Source organism: Homo sapiens, chromosome 8 (assembly GCF_000001405.40).
Source record: "Homo sapiens chromosome 8, GRCh38.p14 Primary Assembly".
NCBI classification, from domain to species: domain Eukaryota; kingdom Metazoa; phylum Chordata; class Mammalia; order Primates; family Hominidae; genus Homo; species Homo sapiens.
The window spans coordinates 5,130,066-5,152,017 of record NC_000008.11 but is presented as its reverse complement, the minus strand read 5'-3'; the positions used below and the strand labels follow the sequence as shown (position 1 = coordinate 5,152,017).

Sequence of the window (21,952 nt, the reverse complement as noted above, 5' to 3'; positions counted from 1 at the left end):
AGGAACCTTCACGTCTAAAACACCAAAAGCAATGGCAACAAAAGCCAAAATTGACAAATGGGATCTAATTAAACTAAAGAGCTTCTGCACAACAAAAGAAACTACCATCAGAGTGAACAGGCAACCTACAGAATGGGAGAAAATTTTTGCAATCTACTCATCTGACAAAGGGCTACTATCCAGAATCTACAAAGAATTCAAACAAATTTACAAGAAAAAAACAAACAACCCCATCAAAAAGTGGGCAAAGGATGTGAACAGACACTTCTCAAAAGAAGACATTTATGCAGCCAAAAAACACATGAAAAAATGCTCACCATCACTGGCCATCAGAGAAATGCAAATCAAAACCACAGTGAGATACCATCTCACACCAGTTAGAATGGCAATCATTAAAAAGTCAGGAAACATCAGGTGCTGGAGAGGATGTGGAGAAATAGGAACACTTTTATACTGTTGGTGGGACTGTAAACTAGTTCAACCCTTGTGGAAGTCAGTGTGGTGATTCCTCAGGGATCTAGAACTAGAAATACCATTTGACCCAGCGATACCATTACTGGGTACATACCCAAAGGATTATAAATCATGCTGCTATAAAGACACATGCACATGTATGTTTATTGTGGTACTATTCACAATAGTAAAGGCTTGGAACCAACCCAAATGTCCAACAATGATAGACTGGATTAAGAAAATGTGTTAATGGGTGCAGCCCACCAACATGGCACATGTATACATATGTAACAAAGCTGCACATTGTGCACCTGTACCCTAAAACTTAAAGTACAATAATAATAAAATTTAAAAAAAAAGAAAATGTGACACATTTACACCATGGAATACTATGCAGCCATAAAAAATGATGAATTCATGTCCTTTGTAGGGACATGGATGAAGCTGGAAACCATCATTCTCAGCAAACTATCGCAAGGACAAAAAACCAAACACCACATGTTCTCACTCATAGGTGAGAATTGAACAATAAGAACACATGGACACAGGAAGGGGAACATCACACACTGGGGCCTGTTGTGGGTTGGGGGGAGGGGGGAGGGATAGCATTTGGAGATATACCTAATGTTAAATGATGAGTTACTGGGTGCAGAACACCAACATGGCACATGTATACATATGTAACAAACCTGCACGTTGTGCACATGTACCCTAAAACTTAAAGTATAATAATAAAAAAAAGTGCATGAAGAAAAATTAAAACAGAAAAAAAACTCTCCTAAATATTTTATGATTTATAGCACTCTTTTAAATTGATTTTTTAATGTTTCAATTTGAATGTTTATTTCGTTTTAATTTTTTGCCTGCAAATAAACAGAAATAGAATTAATTTTATGTACTGACCTTTCACAACTTTGATAAACTTACTCATAGCTCCTAGTATTTATAGTGTAGATTTAGTATGGTTTACATAAACAATTATGTTGTTCGTGACTCTAGTTTTATTTCTTTATTTCCAAACTGCATTCATTTAATTTCATTTAATGCATGATTCCCTGGCTATCAACTCCAGTACAATATCAAGTAGAAGCAGTGAGAGCAGACATATTTGTCTTTTCCCCAGTAGTCAATATTTCATCACTGTTGCCTATAAGATTTTTAGATATGCTTTATCTTATTACACCTATTTTGCTGAGATTACATTCTTGTCAATAATTTTGTTTGAAATATGATGATATTAAGCATCTATTCAAATTATCATATTGTGTTCATATTTGTTCTATTTACATAGTTATATTAGTTTTTAAATTATGAACTATTACATTTTCCCTCAGATAACCCCCTTTGATCATAATCTGTCAACATTTTTATTAGTTGTGGATTTCAATATTTTATTACTTTGTTGGTGATTTCCATGAATACGATCGAATGTTATGGGTCAATGGTTTTCTTTTCTTCAAATGCATTTTAATGATTTTGCTATTAAAGCAATAATGTTCTCATAAAATGAATTGGGGAGTATTTCTTCTTCAATATTTTCGGAGTAACTTGTGTAGAGTTGATGTTATTTCTTCAGTAAACAGTTACAGAATTCACCAGGGAAACCATCTGTGCCTGGTGTTTTCTTTGTGGCAAGCTTTTAAAAAAGATTTCATTTATTTAATACATTTAAGACTATTCAGACTATCTATTTCCTTTTGATTCAGCTTTAGTAGTTTGGATGTTTCAATAAATGTATCTATTGCATACAGATTTCAAATCTGGGGGCATAGAGTTAATAGTACTATCCCTACATTGTATTTTTACTGTCTGTCGAGTTGGGAGTGATAAGCTCTCTTTTCTTCATGATGTTTATAATTTGTGTCTTCTCTCTGTTCTTTGTCAGTCAGGCTGTTGGTTTATTAATGCTATTGATTTTTAAAGAACCAGCTTTTAAAAAAAACTTCTTTTCCTATTGTTTTTTCATTTTACGTCCCACTGATCATTCCTCTTATCTTCATTAATTCCATCATTGGACTTGCTCTGTGTTCAATTTGTCCCTTTTTTCTTGTTATTTAAGATTGAAAGTTGTCATTAATTTAAAAATCTTTTCTAATGCACATGGAATGAAACACGTTTCCCTCTAAGAAGTGCTTTAACTGTGTTCTGTAAATCTAATATGTTGTGCTTTTATTTTCATTCAAATCAAAGTACTTCTAGTTGTCTTTGTGATTTCTTATTTGACCCATAGGATTTTTATAAGAATCCAAACAAATAAATTCTCATTCCTATTTTGTACCATGTAAACAGTTTAACCAAAATTGTCGAAGACCTAAATATAAAAATTTCTAAAAGAAAAGGTTGAAAAAAATCTTTGTGACTTTAGGTTAGGCAAAGATTTTTTTAAATGAAATTGTGTGTGTGTGCGTGTGTGTGTGTGTGTGTGATGTCATCAAAAGGACAAACCTACTCTTTGAAAGACAGTATTTAAAATGTTAGAAGAGAAAGCACAGACTAGAAGAATATGTTTGCTAAAGAAACATAAACAAAGGTCTTCTCTGCATAGTATAAAAAATCTGTCATAATGCAATTAATTATGCAAAAACAAATTAATACAATAAAAATATTAAAAGACTGCATCAAAACAGATACACAGACACTAAAAGATTATATGATAAGATATTCAATAAGATTAATCATAGGGGAAGTTGAAATTTAAGATACAGTAAGATATCACTATACATATATCAAAACGGCTTTAAAAGTAAAATACCAGGTAAAGTATATATATCAACTGGAATTCTCATACCTTGTTGCAAGAATAAAAAATGGTTCACTCAATTTAGAATATAGCTTAGCAGTGTCTTATAAAATTAGAAATGTATTTACCATATGACCCAATGATAGCACTCATAGCTATTTATCCAAATAAGGTTAAAAATTATTCTCACAGTAACACGTATACGTGAATTCTGATACAGGCTTTATTCATGATCATAGAAGTACCAGGTTCTAAAATCCACCCTGTATTTTGTGTCTAAAAACGGACAGAAAAGAGTATAAAGTCACAACCCATAGGTCTTAGACCTGCAATTCATCCAGAACTAGATGCTTGCAACTAAACGCTAGTTTCTTTCTGGCAGTGAGATCCAACTAGCCTGCCATGTGGCTGCCACATCTAGTGACCCTCTCCCACAACTTGACTTTCCCAAACCTACAAATTTAGGTATTCCTGGATTAGAATTGCTGATTACCAAGGTGAAATACTTCCACCCTAGGATCAGATTCGATTTTCATAGAACTCAAAGCTAAGAAACTTTGCCTGGTGGAACACATTTGTAATAATTTTATAAATCACCATGTCTACCGATTTCTTCACTTCTGTGTCTATTTTTATTTCAGATTTGTCTCCTGGTTATGGATTATATATTTCTGCATTGTTGCATGCCTGGTAATAGCTGACTGAATGACAGACATTGTGATATTCCATCGCTGGGTGTTGAGTTTTGTTCTATTGTTTAATAAAGTTAAATAAACTGTGTTCTGATATTCCACTAAGTCACTGAGAATCACTTTGACTCATTTAGTGCTTGCTTTTAAGCTTCATGAGTTCCACACTAGAGAATCCTTCATCCTTGAGCTACTGCTGCCCACTATTATCCTTGGGAGGGCTGTACCAAATGCTTTGTGTATTTTAATACCTACATTTTGTCTGGTAGCAATGTAAACTGTTTTCATTTTTCCGTGGGACTTGAGAATTATTCAGCACACTTCTTTTCAGGGTTCTTTTCCTAGTATCATTGAACTTCTCCTCAAACCTGTGGAATTTGGTATTCAAATAAAAATTTCAAAAGACCCTTTTGCAGACCTTTAATGTTCTCTCTGTGTCCAGGTGCCTCCCATCTGGTGTTCTGCCTCATAAAATCGAACCACCTCAGCCTCAGTGAACTCTAATCTATGTCCCATCAACGCTGTGAAATTAATGGTCCATACTGAGTTTGGTTTGTTTTTCATGTACTCTGGTTTAGAAATTGTTTCTTAATATTAAACTGGGGCTGACATAGGACTTTTCTCATTGATTCCTCTTATCTGAAGAATCACATCCCTGTTTTGCCTGTTGCCTTATTTATAAAAATAGCCACTTTGAATATTCTGTATAGTTGTCTAGTTGTTTACCATAGGAAAGTAATTTTCATAACAGCGATTGTTCATGGAAGCTGAAGTACATCATTCTGTATTTTGATTTAACATGTATTATAAAACCCCAATTAGATGTTATTGTTTTATATTTCAAAAGGCACTTACAGTTAGAAGAGGTGTTTAGATATTTTATTTTTTAAAGGAATTTAAAAAGTTGAGAAACTTATTTTTTATGAAAAATGATTGAAAGTTTAATTTGCTGTTTATGTATAATTAATGGTCTAGGAATTCACCAACAGGCAAGTTTATTTACTTGCCTATGTGTTTTTGCTTTTACAATCAGTTTAACTACACGTAAACATGAGAATGCCGCATTGTTTTTGTTTCTTAATTCCTGCTTATTTGTGCTCAAGATTATTTGGATTTGTGCATCTCATTGTGAGTGTTATTTTTACTCAGGGAGAAGCACCTTTTAACATCCAAAAAAGGCTAATCTTCAAAAGTTTCCTCATAAAGCAGTGGCAGAAGTGTGAATTCTGAGACTGCAAAGATATTACATAAGAAGAGTATGATAACAGTGGGAAAGCATGGACAAAATTCTCTTCTTGTTGCAGATACATTTATTTATTTATTTAGAAACATTGTCTTGCTCTGTCACCCAGGCTGGAGTGCAATGGGGCGATCTCAGCTCGCTGCAACCTCTGCCTCCCGGGTTCAAGGAATTCTGCCTCAGCCTCCCTAGTACCTGGGATTACAGTACAGGTACGTGCCAACACGTCCAGCTAACTTTTGTATTTTTAGTAGAGATAGAGTTTCACCTTGTTGGTCAGTCTGGTCTGGAACTCTTGACCTCAGGTGATCCATTCACCTTGGCCTCCCAAAGTGGTGGGATTACAGGTGTGAGCCACCATGCCCAGCAGGCAGATATACCTTTAGAAAGAAAATAAGCACTACAAGTAAAGCTAAGGCCCCTTCCCAAAACCATTTTCCTAGCCTCTTCACCATAAACTCCCTCACCATAAGCAAATATCCTCACGAATTTCACATTTTTCCTTTCCAAGAGCAAAGTACTTGAAACAATGCCAGGAACATAGTAACTGCTCAGTAAATGTTTGGGATACTTTATTCAAAATATTACTTATTTTAGAAGTATTTGAATTTTATTATTCTCTGCAGCTCACTTTTCCTTGTTCCATACTTTGTGTCTGAGATTACCAACATTGACACAGTAATTTATAATTTACATCTTGTAGCATGTGTTCACAATTACTTTGTATAAAATGCCAATTTATTTATGCATTCTCCTGTTGAAGGACCCTGGATTGTTTTTTATTTTTATTTTTTTGATATTATAAACAACATTGCAACAAACTTTTGTATGCATCTTTTCTTGTGCCATTCACTTTTTTATTTCTGAGTATTACTCCTAATAATATAACTAAAACCTTGACTATCCTGGCTGTGGGATATAATCATCTTCCTTTTTTCTCAGTTTTGCCAAACTTCTCTCCAAAATGCCAGTCATAATTCAGGTCCACACTCGCAGAGTAGGAAAGTCCCTGTTGCTCTATATTGTTGCCAACGTGTTCTCAGGTGTTGTTATTCTAAAGCTATGTACAGGTATGTCTGGGGCACGAAGAATGAAGTGATTATCTCTGCAGGTCCTCCTGTTTTCAAGGAGACTTTGAATAAAGCAGAAATAATGAGCACCTGAACCAAGGCATCAACACGGGGCTGGAGAGGACTAGAAGCACTAATAAAGTCCAATCCACAGCTGTTATTAAAACTGTAAGCGGGAGGATAGAGGTCCTATTTCATGACTGAGGAGCTTTGGTGGATACTACAGCCACACATTTGGATGGAAGGTAGACGACCGGATAATTCTTGTGCTCTGAATGGAAGCAGTTTATTGAGTAAGTATATATTACACACAAAAACTTGAGAACAAATAAATGCAAGGGCCTTGGGTGCCGTAAGCTTCTTTTCGTTCCATGTAAATATGGCATATGTTCTAAGCAGACTAAATTTTCAGTATTATTCTATTTTAAACTTAGATCTTTCCTCAAGTTGGTCGGGGAGAATATTTCAGAGGGGAAATAGGAAGAAAGGTTATGATGATGAGATACCATGCACCTATAGATAGCACCTGGAGCTTTAAACCTACACAGCAAGTTTCCCCTACCAGGGGTGTGACTCATTTGGAAAAATAAATAGAACGGTGAACTTGCTACACTAATTATGGGAGTTCTCACTATAATTACCATAAAATTATAAGTTACAGTAATTTTCAGTACTCCACAGGGGAAAATGAAGTTACTTTGAATTGTAATGACAAATTAGATGGTAACTTATAAAAACATGAAATAGCATAAGCAATTTGAGTCACCGTAATATGTGCTATGTCTTGAAATGCATTCTTTTCATTAGCTCATTAAATAAAAACCATATGTCTGTGCTTGTATGCAGGCTTCCTCCCACCCCAGTACAATAAATGAAGAGACTCACAAGATTAAGGAGTGATAAGAGTACACCGCTTCAAAAAAAAACAAATCCTGTGCAAGGGGAATAGTGAGCAAATGAGGTAAGCTCGTTCAGCTTGCTGGTGTGTACACCACTCTCACCAGGAGAAATTCTTCATGGGTGTAAGCATAGGCTGCAGGAGGAGGACAGATTCACATGACATTTAGCCGGGCTGCTATCAGCGGCAGTCACAGTCATTTTTAAAGTCTGGTTCTGACAAATTTTAGCGTCAGCTTACATCAGATGAAGACTGTTTTTAGGTGAGCATTTTGGCGAGATAGAGAATAGTGGTTTCCACCAGAGAGACAGAAGTTTGAATCCTAGATTTATTATTTTCTCTTGAGTTTGAAGTTTTTTTTTTTTTTTTTTTTTTTCATAACATGGGACTGACATTCCCATTTCATAAAGCTGTTAGAGAAATTAAGTTAGGACATACAGAATGCCAAACAATGATCCTGTTGCACAATCAGTTTTTAATGAAGATGATCACATCACGTGGTCCTCCAAAATAGCTCTCAAAAAGGGCTTGGATTGCATAGAATTTTTCTCCTTAAAATCACAGGCAGGATCAGAACAGACACAGACACAGCTTCTCTGGATATTGATAGAACATTCCTTCCTGTAAAACGCTTCCTCATCAGCCTCTCTTCCTAGTATTTGAGGAACATGTGAGATAGTGAATGAAATAATGTTGTTTATGCTGTCCTACAAGAGAGCTGTTATCAGACATATGTCTGCGCCCCTTCCCTTGCAATTACCCCCATGTCAAATAATTCTTTACTTGGAGGAAGTGAAGGTTAGACTTGAATGCCATCTCCACATTAGCACAACTTCTAAGACAAAGATGTGTTTTGAACCCTGGTCCTCTAAGGTTTTCGTTGTACACACTTCCCATCCATGGCACTGGTTTAGCACAGAATAAATTTATTTCTCTGTGTGGAATAGGATTTTGGAACCTTAAAGATGATTAGTGATCTGTTCTAATGCAATGAAACATTGACACAGCCTATAAGATCAGAAATCCAGAAAACTGGGTGTTCGCCTTTTATAAAATAGGACTAATGCCAGGAAGCATTTGGGACTATATTTCCCAGCTGCTTGTGTCTCTTTGTAGTTGTGTGACCATTTCTCACCAATGGAAAGTGAGTGTGAATTTAATGTCTATATCTTCTGGATAAAGGATTTTGAGAAACCCTTCTCTTCTCCTATTCTCTCCTCTCATCTCTCTCTTCTTCTATGTGATGGGAGCATGTGCTGGTAGCATGTGATGGCAGTGAGGCCCAGGGGGATGGCAGAGGCTGAAAATGGAAAGAACTTGGGACATGTGCTCACCATGGCTATTAAAGCCACCTGTAACCAGCATCTTCAGCATGCTGCGTTGTACTTTGACTGGGACAAGAAATAGGCTTCTGTTGTTTTACAATCTAATGGTGAGTTTTGTTTGTTATATTAGCTAGTGTTCCCCTGACTAATACAGCTGAGTTCCATTTGGAAAAAGAATCCTAAACTGATTAACACACACAATACGGGACGGTACTCATTGCTTATGAGATATGGTTACTTGGTAGTTGATGAGTTATGATTTGAAAAGGATTATATATTACACAGGATTATTTTAATCCTCGTCAAATGACATCTGAAGCTTCATAACATTCTTTTATTGTGTCTTATTTTACCTCTAAGCCAACACAAGAGATTTAGTCACTGGTCCATAACAAAACTCCAATTGTGTTATATTTTGCTGATGAAAGAAAAGGTTGTATGGTATAAGGAGTCCTGTAAGAGAACCAATAAGACTCAAGTTCAATCCCTGGTTTTGACACTTGCCAACCTTGAAGTCTTAAGGTGTTATTCAATTTCAACTTCACTTTCTTCATTTGTGAAATACTAGGCGTGGTTACATGTCTTTTTTTATCTAACAGAATAAAGGTATATAGAAATTAGTACCCATGCTCTATTTTACATAGTGTTAAAGTATGTACACAGTTTTTAATATTGTTACTAGTAAAACATTCTGAATAATAGTCATATGGTCATTATGTAAATAAAATGAATGCGCATACTTATAGATGTTATAAAAACTACAGAACCTGTTAACTCACCTTGTAACAACTTTATGAAACATGTCATATGAACAAATCGTGTTAATACATATCACTTCTATATTAGTTGTTCATTGTAAGAATATTTTAGGATTAAAAAAGAAACTCTTGATGGTGCCAGTCATGGAGGCATGCACCTGTAGTCCCAGCTACTCTGGAGGCTGAAGCAGCAGGATCACTTGAGCCCAGGAGTTCTGGGCTGTAGAGCATTATGCTGATTGGGTGTCTGCACTAAGTTCAATATTAATATGGTGACTTCCTGGGAGCAGGGGACCACCGGGTTGCCTGAGGAGATGTGAACTGGCCCAGATTGGAAACTGAGAAAGCTCAAATTCCTGAGGTGACGATTAGTAGGACACTGACTCTGAAAAGCCACTGTATTCCAGCCTGGGCAACACTGCGAGATCTTTTCTTAAAAAAAAAAAAAAAAAAGAGAGAGACAGAGAGAGAGGGAGAGACAGAGACAGAAAGACAGAAAGACAAGACGAAGGAAGGAAGGAAGGAGGGAGAGAGAAAGAGAGAAAGGAGAACAAGAAGAAAGAAAGAAGGAAAGAAAGAAAGAAGGAAGGGAGTAGCCTTGCAGTAAGCCGAGATTGTGCCACTGCACTCCAGCCTGGGCGACAAAAAAAAAAAAAAAAAAAAAAAAGAAGCAAGCAAGCAATAAAGGGAACTTCTATCCCATGTTTATTGATTTCTTTTTAATTTCTATGAGATTATCATTTAGTCATCCTTATGCCAGTAATCACAAGATAATCATGCAGAGTCAAATAAAAAAGATCTGTTTAGTCCATAAATGAGGCTGAAATACATTCCTAGGAGTTTATGTGCGTGATCACGAGCACTGTGTTCCTCTAGATGCTGACCAATTAACCTAGGACCCTAGAACCATGGGTGAGTTAGTGAGAAGAACGGGTATCCTCTCTTTGATGGAACTGGAGTGGTTTTGCAGGCGTTCAGGCCCTGGGAAGCAGCAAGGTTGGTGACTGTCAGGATCAGACAAAGGTCATTAACAGGACCCAAGGGTTCATTTCTGTGGATGAATGCTTATAAGATCTGAGTGTCATGATATATGTGTATGACACTCAGATACACACACATACACACCATATCCATGTATTTGTGTGTATATACACAATTATATGTATATAGAATTATGTATATAATATTTATCTCATTACATAATTCTAGAGTCTTATATTGACTGTAACCCTTCCATACTTTGCATTTTCTTTCACCTACAGTATAAAACTTAGCAATCTACAGGACTTGGATTTTTATAAGCCTTCCAACCTGAAGATAATCTAGTATAAAACCTGCAATAATCTAGAATCTCTGGGCATTAGGTGGAGTTTAGTACAGAGTGGGTAAAGGAATCCTGGAATTGTGAATTCAGTTTCTATTTCTGCTTCGTTTTCTACCCATTAAAGAAATTATTCAGAGTCAGCCTGAAGTCGGGACCAAACACTGAGGAGAACATAAGATTGGGAGTTACTTTCCCCATAATGTTCTCCTCCTCTCTACTAGGCTGTCATTAGTAAGGATGCCTTAAATCCATACAGCTGCATGAGTTCTTAAGCTGGACGTATTGTTATTTCTAGTCCTGCAGCCGTGAAGATATTGACTTTTTAAAAGATTCATTGTATACTGAACAGATCAAACAAATCAAAGACAAATGGAGGGATGATGTTCCCAAGACTAACAAGATCTGATGGGCCTCAGTTCTGTCATCTGTAAAATTAAGACTACAATAATTTCTGTACAGAGTGGATATTAAGTTATAATGTAAAAGCAAAAACAATTTTACGTAGTATAAGAAAAACAAGCTAAGAAATGTGTTGCCTGTTTTATTGCTGATATAGCGCATAATTTTTGCTATGGTTATAAAAATAATATATATAAGTAAAATTATATATGTATAGTATATGAAAATATTTGTGATTTTAGTAGCTAAGCTAAAGTGTTTTTATTTACAATGACAGGAGGAAAACTATTTTCTGCCCCAAAAGCAACAGTGCTTCTGCAGGTAGCATTGCAAACTCCTGAAGCACATTCGGAAGATTTTAAACTGCATGTTAAATCTTGCAGTTTGAAACTGCGAGTCTTCCTGTGTGGCAAAGCTCTCCTCGTGGAAATGATTTTCTCGAAGCCTCATCTCAAAAAGTGCTGTCATTTTCCCCCGAGTTTGCCATTTCCCACCCCCTCCGCGTGCACTTTTCTTTGATAAAGAAGTTCCCCTCTGTGGCACAGCCCTGGAGATTTAGAAGTTCGCCTCCTGAACAATTGTTTCTCAAAATTATTCAAACTGTATTTTACGATGATGGGGTGTCTGCGTCTTTCTTCCCTCTCCAGATCTTCCCCAATGAGACCGCCGCGGGGTTGCCAGGGCTCAGCTGCTTTCATCATCAGACGGGCTGTGGTTGGCAGTGAGCTTGGGGCTGGCACAGTGGGGACTGGGGCTCTGGCGGCCCGGTTAGCAAATGATGTGGTTAATGAGCGCACGCTTCCTTTAAAGTGCCTTCTTTGGACAGATCAAACCTGTTTGCATTCTAATTGCTCTCCTTGGTGGCTTAGACTTTCTTCTCTTACCTTTCTCCTAAAAGGATATCAAAATTGCCCAGCCCTTGCATGTAAGATTCCTATACAAAACCATATTACAATAGATGGATTTCTTGGAAGCAGCCTGGTGGGTAGAAAGGAGACTGATATGAGAGTGAGAAGGCATGTGCCCTCACCCCGACTCAGCCACGTGGAAGAGGCGTGACGTTGTACAAATGACTTCACACCTGTACCTCCATTCCCCTAGCAGGAAAATGAAGATTTCAAACTAGATGACTCTAAGATACCTTTTAGCTCTGAAAAGTAAAGTAACTAACTTTTTTTTCTCTGCAAAGGCATTAGAAAATTAGAATCTCTGCATCCTCCTCTCCAACCGTAAAATTTTCTCTCCTTTATAAATGTTTACATTATATTCCACTAAACTTCTGGATGATTAAAGAGCTATAAGTTCAAGTCTACAGTACTGAGTTTCAGTAAGTTAAAAACCTCCCTGGAATCAAGCTGCTGTATTTTAGTCTTCTTTTCTTTGTCAGCAGTTTTAACAAAACTGACATCTTTTAAAAGGTGGTAACAGGAACATACAGTTACTAAAAAATATGTATATACAATGATTGTAGCTGTTGATTAATCTGAAAGTACACGAAGTTGAGTACAGTGTTGACACAAATGGAAGATGGTGCATCTGATGTTGGCTAAACACTACAACGACCACAGTTAAAACGATAGTGGATAGAGCAAGACAGACCAACAACAAACTTAGTGGATGGGAATTTTGTAAATGATAGAAACACATTACAAATACGTGGGAAAAAAGCTACTTCATAATGATGCTGAGAAAAATAATTAACTATTTGAAAAAAATGTGAAATTAGACCCTTTCCCTAAAACATTCGCCATATTACAGATGCGTTTTTTAAAGTGAAAATGAAGCTATAGGACTGGAAGCAATTAAAGGAATATTATCTACAGAAGGAATGTGGAGGAACTTCCAAAAGTAAGACTGACAGATTTGTAAATTTTAAATCCACGCTGTCAAAAATTATCATGAAAAATGAAACCAAGCTTCAGCAACTGCAATCCAGGAATGTTCTTGCGGATATCGGCAATGTATCCCTTTTTTATGCTAAATTGGATAAATATAACCAGAGTGCTTCCTCCCATGTTGGCAATGACTTTGGCAATTTCCAAGTTTTGATCTTATGGATACAGTTTCTGCAGACATTTCTGAACAAGTTGTGTGTGTGTATGTGTGTATGTAATTGTATAGTTTCTTTTTCTTGTGTAAATACCTAAGTTACATTTCTAGGTGGTAGGTTAGTTGTATGTTTCATTTATTAAAAATTGCCAGGCCTTTTTCAAAGTCATGTGCCATGGTACACTCCCACCAACAGTGTCCTCGTGTTCCCTTTGCTCCACATCCTTGTAAACTTTTTCTGTTACAAATCTTTATTCCTCTGGGTATAGTAACGGTGCATATTTAATTGTGGGTTTAATATGCATTTCACTGATTACTGGTGATTGGAGCACTTTTTCATGTGTTCACTCGACAGTCATGCAGCTTCTATTTGGAAAGCATCATTTCAGCTGTTTCACACATTCCTTTTGTTGGTGTTTTTAAAATTTTGTGTTGTGAAAGTTTATATATATATTGTTAGTACATATTTATATTGCTTCTAATAGATCTTTTCCTCCCTGTTCTCTTATGCTTTCTTCTGGGCATCACCTCAGAAATAAGTTACATGCATCTACCTCCATGCCTCAGGCCTGATATAAAGAGCTCTGAAGAAACAAAAAAGACTCACGTTCATTCCTTGCCTTTGACACTTTCCAACCATGAAGTCTTAAGGTGGTATTCAATTTCAATTTTAGTTTCTTCATTTGTGAAACTTTCACAGCACATGTATTTGAGACATATATGTATGTATAGGTATACGGTGTATATATATGTATATGGTATATATATACATATATACACATATATGTGATATATATGTACATGGTGTGCATATATATATGGTGTACATATATATATGGTTTGTGTGTGTGTGTGTATATATATATATATATGCGGTACCAGTTATTTGTTAAATGCCTGTTTTGCAATTATATTCTCCAAGTCTGTGACTTGCCTATTCATTATCTAAAGAGTGCCTTTCAAGGAACAGAAATTTTCTGGTTTTCTTTAATATGTATAAAGTTATTTTAAAATTTTGTATCTTTTTAAAATTTCTGCTGGTTACTGGGATTTTTCAAAGAAAACTTGGCCTTCCCTCAAATCATAAATATGTCTAAGCTTTATAATTTTATCTTTTACAGTAGACTTTGATCCACCGTGAGTTAATTTTTCATTGTTTTATGCAATTGTATTTTTATTTATTTTTTAAATTCTCGAATACTATTTGTGGATATTCATGGAGCCCATGAAGCCTCCATACATAAAATGTATAGTGATCTGATCTAGGTAATTATCATGTCCATCATCTCAAACATTTGTCATTTATTTGTGTTGAGAACATTCATTATCCTCCTCCTAGCTACCAGAAATTATAGAATATAATATGGTTTGCTATAGTCCTATTATAGTGCTGTAAGATGCTAGGATGTGTAGGTTGTGTTAGAGTTTCTTTCCTTCTTTTTCTCATTCCTTCCATCTTCCCTTCCCTTCCCTTCCCTTCCCTTCCCTTCCCTTCCCTTCCCTTCCCTTCCCTTCCTTTCCCTCCCCTCCCCTCCCCTCCCCTTTCCTTTCCTTTGCTTTCCTTCCCTCCCCTCCCCTTCCCTTCCCTCTCCTCCTCTTTCCTTTCCTTTCCTTTCCTTCCCTCCCCTCCCCTCCCCTTTCCTTTCCTTTCCTTCCCTCCTTCCTTCCTTACTTTCTTCTTTCCTTCCTTGTTTGCTTCCTTTCTTGTGGCTGTTTAGGTACTCCAGCATTATTTATTAAAAAGAATTTCCTTTTCCTGTATGATTGTTTTGAAACTATTCTCAAAAATTACACTTGTGAGTCAATTTCGGGCTCTTTATCACATTCCACTGGTCTATTTATTATTTCTTCTGCCAACAGCACACTATCCTGGTTACTGTAGCTTATAGGAAATCTTGAAGTCAGATATTGTAAGACCTACAACTGTTGTTTGTTTTATGTTGTTTGCACACACACTACAGATATCCACTTTCGATTTCTATAATAAAATCTTCAAAACTGAGTCACATGCATGCACCTCCATGCCTGAGGCTCTGCCTTGTGGGTGTGGCCGGATGAAGACCTTCTTTGTCTTACCTGCCTTCACTGATCTGAAGCCAGCCTCACTGCCGTGCCTTTTCCCTCTTAATATTTTTTATATATTATAAATGTAATGAAAAATTATCTAAATTTTCACCAAAATTCTAAACTGTTTTAAAATTCTGAAGACCTTGACTGAAGTAAATCATTACTATTTAACTGTATTTCCATGAAAAAAATGTTTAATTGTGTTTATATTTAATTTATAAATAGGTTAAATTTATTATATTTAAATGTATGTTTTTACAACTTTAAAGTGGACATCATGGCTTACATTCTTCCTAGTGTACAGATTCTTTTTATGAATTGTATTTTTAAATTATATATATGACAACATACAAATATACAGAAAGGTTAATTTTATTATTTATATACAATAACTCACTTTCTATAGTTACTTATAAATAACCAAGTAATACCGTTAGGGTGCAATTAGATTTATTATCACATGCTTTTTTTTTTTTTCACTGAAAACTGAGTCTCTTAGAATTTTGGCAAGGTCTCTTTTAATATCAGAAATATTCCCATTCTCCAACCTAATATCTTCATGTGATCTCAAGCTACTGTTCTCTGTTGATTCATTCTGCGACACATCTATAAAAGCAGGAAAGCCCATATTTTCACTTGTTTTCTTAATGGAAACTTGAAGCACATTGTGAATATTGTGTGCTAGTATCACGTGAGTTGTTTGTAACTATTAATATTGAAGCTGCAGGCTGAAATTTCCTTCCCTGTACAGAACGCACATTGCTCTCTGACAGATCCTCGTACGTGTGTGTGTGTGTGTGTGTGTGTGTGTGTGTGTGTGTAAAGTTATATAAGCTATTAGGCACTGAAATTTCTTTTTACCCAGCTTGAAGTTCTGCCTTAAATCCCTTTCATTGGCCCCACCTTGCTGCATATACCTGGACGGCAACATGTCAATATTATCTTCCTATAAAGCCTAGAGTAGACTAGAGATGAACATTACTTTCACTTTTCCTTTTACCAAAGAACCCTGCCATTATGCCATTTGATTTTCCTGAATAATGGACTTCCTGAGCCGAAGGAATGGCCAAAGTCAACCTTTCTATTTTAATTTAAGAAGACAGAACACAATACTGTCTTCTTCTCCACCTTTAATCTTTACATTAATCTTTTAAAATGTATATTCCCTGGCAGGCCCAGATGGGTGGATTGCTTGAGGTCAGGAGTTCCAGACCAGCCTGGCCAACATGGTGAATCCCCGTCTATACTAAAAATACAAAAATTAGCTGGTCATGGTGACGGTCACCTGTAGTCCCAGCTACTTGGGAGGTGGAGGCAGAGGAATCACTTGAACCCAGGAGGCAGAGGTTGCAGTGAACTGACATCTCACCACCCCACTGCAGCCTGGGCACAGAGTGAGACCCTGTCTCAAAAAATAAATAAATAAAAATAAATACAATAGAATGTATATTCCTGCAAAATGCTGGATTAAAATTATTCTCTGATGGTCCTGGGTGGCTTGAGATCATCCTTGATGCCTGTCCAAGAAGCTGTCTGAGGAGATGAAACATAAGCACCTCATCACTGTAACACATTTTTACATTTGCCCCTTGGCGTGATCAAGCCAAGTGAAGCTTGGTAACCTATTGTTAAGTAACCTGGATTTTTCATGTCAGGGACCCTTGTATACAAAGCATAGTTAAAAATGACTTTTGTTAGGGTGTGTAGGGAAGACAAGACAGTCTTTCTAGATAACATTTATCTGTGTTTGCTGACAAAACTACTGCCATCTGGTCACACAGTTTAATCTCCTAGAGCCTATCCCTCTCCCTTGACCATAATCAAGCAGACTCTTAGGCCTGTGAGAAGCCAAAAGTGCAGTGGCATGCACAGAGTAAGGGTAAGAATGGGGCATGGAACTGGGAACAGCGGCTCAGGCCTGTAATCCCAGGGCTTTGGGAGGCAGAGGTGGGCAGATCCCTTGAGGTCAGGATTTCGAGACCAGCCTGGCCAACATGGTGAAACCCCGTCTCTACTAAAATATAAAAATTATCTGGGTGTGGTGGTGTGCCCCTGTAATCCCACCTACTCGAAAGGTTGAGACAGGAGAAGCTCTTGAATTGGGGAGCTGCAGGTTGCCATGAGCTGAGATAGCACCACTGTACTCCAGCCTGAGTGACAGAGTGAGACTCCATCGCAAAAAAAAAAAAAAAAAAAAAAAAAGTGGGATGGCTGGAGTATTGGTGAAATGCAGCTACTCTCCTAATACACAGTTGATACAGATTCTGCTGCCGCCAACAACACTATTGCTTCCATTCATCTTCTCTTTGACGTTATGAATAGATAGGAACATTTAATTGTTAATCTGGCAATGAGACAACAAATATTTTCTTAAATAGCTTTTTGTAGTTTACTTGTCTTTTTTAAAAGATCTGGGGGTAAACTCAAGAAAACTCTCAATTTTTCCATTGTTCTCATGTATCAAAAATAGTTCATGACGCAGCAGATAGAAGATTAATACTCAAGTTCCTTCTGTTTTCCCGGACCAAAAGAAAGTCTTCTATTTGAGTTATGTCATTTATTCCCATATATTATTCATGGCCAACTTACAGAATAAATTAGCTACATCTCTTAGTATAATATTTGGCCAATTCCCTCTCCTCTAGAGATTATATTCACATTTTTTTGTGAGTTAAATAATAAAAAACATTAAAATGTCAGTCATCCATAATATTAAGAAGAACCTATTTTAAAAGGTTAATGAAGATGACACTTCTCGCAGCAGAAACACTGATCATATCTGGGGCGAAGGGGACCATCCTACGTTGATTTCCCTATCCCACATTTACCAACTGTGTTTGAACATCTTCATTGATGGTTTCGGTAAATACTCTTCATGATGAAGCCAGAAAAATCAAGAATTCAGAAGTCACTATTCTCACTGTGTTGGCGAAGTGAGGGAAGATAGATTCTTCTATCATCTCAGCAGAGAATTGCTTATTTTATGCAGATTTATAGTGTCTGCAGAACAAGAATTCTGTCACTCATAATGACTCCAGCCATTATTTATTTATCAGCCCGGGTAAAAGTTACAAGTCACACTACACCGGACAGCTGTTGGTTTTGCCTGTTCATCCATCGTTCCCTCTTTGTCTGTTAACACTGAAGATTTTCCTCTGAAAACCACCTTTTCTCACTTTCAGCCCCTGTAGTTTGCATGTGTTTGATCACATCCCTCCAGGTCTCCCAGGGAGCGTCTGTCTCAGAAGCTGGGCACAGAGGCTGACCATACATAGGTTATGTGGGCATCTTGAACCAAGAGACACACCTATATCTTCACTTGAACTATGAAGGGGACGGCTAATGGGTACAATCAGAGTTAGACAGAATAAATAAGTTCTCGTGTTTGAATGCATAACAGGTGACTACAGTGACTAAACAATAACTTATTGTACATTTTTAAATGACTAAAAGGGTATAATTGGAACATTCATAACTCAAAAAATGCTAAATGCTTGAAGTGATGGATGCCCCCTTTAACCTGATGTGATTATTACAAATTGTATACCTGTATCCAAATATCTCATGTACCTCATAAATATATACACCTACTATGTATTCATACAAGTTAAAAATTTTAAAACATTAAAGAAAGAAAGATGATCCTTTCTGCTCAAGTTCCTAGCTGATACAATGTACATAGGGGGCTGCTCAGGGCAATATGGAGAAAAACACACCATACTAAGTCCACACCAAAGAAAGAAGACAAAGAGAGAGAAGAAAGGCTTTAATCTTCAGGCCCTTACATTTTTTTTTCTTAAGTTTCTTTGAGTAGGGCGTTTGTGTCTTGCAACTAAAAGCATACTAAGGAATAAATAATGCTGTTATTAATCAGAAGACAGGAAAGAATAATAGACACAACAAGTAAGAGGATTCAGAGAGCAGAAACTGTCTGGGACTAGCTGTCTGATGTCATTGACGACATTGATTGTTGGTGTAAGCAGACACGGGTGGAATACATTTTGATGGTCACCTTCTTGAGGAAAGGCTGAACCCAGGTATCCCCTGGAACAGAGATGCTGTGCAATTTCCTACAGAAGCAGGGAGGAGGAAAGTTTGCTGCATTGTATTTGTCAGGCTTTGAAGACTATTGGATAGTGTTTTTAAATAAGGAGTCCTCAGTTTAAACAGAACAAAACCTGTGTACAGAAAAGTAGCTATGTACTCCTCAAATCACACAGGAGCAAGGAGTAACAGAGCCAGATTTTAAAGCCAAGTCTGCCTGATGTGAATGGGCATGTTCATCTACTATAACTTACTAATAACATTAGGGACACCAGTTACTTTACTAAGGCAAACGGTTGCTTTTTGGGGGGTAATAGATATATGAGATCAAAATGACCTCACCCACCATCAGCCACAGTGCCTGACATCTTTGTTATTAGAGATTCCTTTGAATTCTGATTTTTTAAATTGCTGTGCTTTGGAGCAGAGGGCTTAATGTATGTCTAAATATATCATACTGAATACCTTTTTCAAATCAGAACGGGATTTTTGCCAGCATTAAACCCTTGAATCTTATTGATGGCTCTGCATCTTATATAAAACTCTTTAGTTTACAAAGAATTTTTGGCACAGTTCAATGTGAACATCACCGGACCTCATGTACTCATGAGATGGTTGAACCTTGGGACGTCAGCATAGTTTGAGGGTGGAGGAGCAGAGAGTATGAAATGTTAACTGGAAAGGCAGGAAACGTTTAAAGATGATACATCTTTGTGCAGGAAGAGCATGTGAATTTGTTTTATCTGCCGTCCATGATGAAAACGAAATCTTACAGAATAAAAATTGTGATTAGTTGTAACATGAATAAGCAGGCTCTGCTATTATACAGAAACATGAATGGATTATCAAGCATAAAAGGAAAGCTAAAAAATTCACCAAGATTAAAAAATAGCATCCGGGCCTGGCGCAGTGGCTCATGTCTGTAATCCCAGCACTTTGGGAGGCTGAGGAGGGCAGATCACCTGAGGTCGGGAGTTCAAGACCAGAGTGACCAACGTGGAGAAAACCCGTCTGTACTAAAAATACACAATTAGCTGGGTGTTGTGGCGCATCCCTGTAATCCCAGCTACTCGGGATGCTGAGGCAGGAGAATCGCTTAAACCCAGGAGGCGGCGAGCAGAGATGGCGCCATTGTACTCCAGCCTGGGCAACTAGAACAAAACTACGTCTCAAAAAATAAAAAATAAAAGTAATAAAAAATAGAAAAGCAGCATCCAAGATATATGTTGAGCCAACATCCTTTGAAACTTACAGTAGTCACCGTTACAAAAAAAAGAGAAGCCCAAAGGAAGTGAAGAATTCCTGAGAGCACACTTAATGTAGTTAATTTATCTGATAGGGCATTAGAAATCTGCAAATTAGGTTGCTGAAATACAGTCACTGATCTCGGAGGAAATGTGGTGACTGAGTTTATTAGAATCCAGATGAAGAAATGCCACTGCACTTCATTCAATATGCGTTTAGAGGAACTGAACCATACCAGAATCAACACACGCTTTTAGGAGGTCAACAGGAAGTCCTTGCAAAATGGGGTTCTTTCACTTACACGTGCATCGACATTACCTGGTGGGCTTATTAAAAAAAAAAAAAAAAAGTTGTTGAAACGCAGTTCAAGAGTGTCAGAGAGTCCAGACTGAGACTTGAGAATCTGCATTCTTAACAAAGTTCAAGGTGAATTTGTTTCTAATGCTACTGGTCCAGGAAGCATGCACTGAGCAGCTCTTGGAATGCTGTGGTGAGCTGCGCTGAGCCAGCCATTTGACAGCATATTTTGGGAACCAACTGAAGAAGTCCAGGTGTTGCATAAGCATGGTAATGAGCTGTATTTTTTTGTGTATTTGGAGACAAGGTCTCTCTCTGTCCCCTAGGCTGGAGTGCAGTGGTGTGATCATAGCTCATTGCAGCATCCACCTCCCAGGCAATGCTCCCACTTCAGCCTCCTGAGTATCTGGAACTACAGGCATGCGCCATGGTCAGCTAATTTTTTTTATTTTTTATAAAGGTTGGGGTCACACTATGTTGCCCAGACTGGTCTCGAACTCCTGGGCTCAAGTGATCCACGCACCTCAGCCTCCCAAAACGTTGAGGTTACAGGAGTGAGCCACTGCACCTGGCTCCTCAAGCTGTATCTTCCTATTTAAAAAAAAAATAAATAAATAAACTTTATTGTGTATGCTTGATGTTTAGAACATAATGTCATGGTATATCGTCAAAAGTTAAATGATGACTATAGTGAAGCAGATTAACATATGTAGCATCTCACATGGTTTCTTTCCTTGTGTGCAACAAGAACAGCTAAAATCTCCTCATTAAAATCTCTAAGACAATTCAATTTTATTAACTTGATTCCTCATATTGTACTTAATCTGCAGGTCTCTTTCCTCATATTTCTGTTGACTGTGCTGTAGGTGACGAGAAAAAGTCTTGCCATGCCTTTTCTCACTTCAGGTGCCTAAATTGGGGGTCATGCATGCATCATGTTCTCTATAGGTTTCCTAACCTCCGAAAAATGTGGAATTCACTCTATATCATTTAAGTAGATGATATGTTAAGTAAAGGTTATTGAGTTAATCACAGAATTATTAGAATGGCCAAAGAAATATATTCAAAGATAAGATTGCAGGGAAAATGCTGCAAGCCATACCCCAACTTGGCCTTCTGCTGCATCCCAATGAGGTGGTTTAACTTGCACGCCATTGTCAACCCACAACCAAACTACATTAGGAACCTTCCCTGAAATCTTCCTCATGTCCCCAGGTGCCACTCTTAGAACAGAGTGGATTCTCCACACAGAGCCTTTGTCCTAAAGTGGCTCACCTCTGTGTGGGGTCTGGAGGCGCATAAGAACCTTTCACAAGCCTGTACATTAACCACAAGCAAACTGAGAAATGTATAT

At 37.2% G+C, this 21,952-nt stretch overlaps 1 long non-coding RNA gene and 1 pseudogene across 1 annotated transcript in view; both read left to right on the top strand.

The window, feature by feature from the left end:
- The first annotated feature begins 6,205 nt into the window (after nt 1-6,205).
- Nucleotides 6,206-21,952, top strand: part of LOC107986907 (uncharacterized) — a 32,533-nt gene continuing 16,786 nt past the window's right edge. Inside the window, exons 1-2 of the long non-coding RNA XR_001745763.2 lie at nt 6,206-6,485; nt 7,039-7,153. This is a non-coding gene — a long non-coding RNA (uncharacterized LOC107986907). The remainder of the gene's footprint in view (nt 6,486-7,038; nt 7,154-21,952) is intronic.
- Nucleotides 9,311-9,607, top strand: RN7SL318P (RNA, 7SL, cytoplasmic 318, pseudogene; annotated as a pseudogene).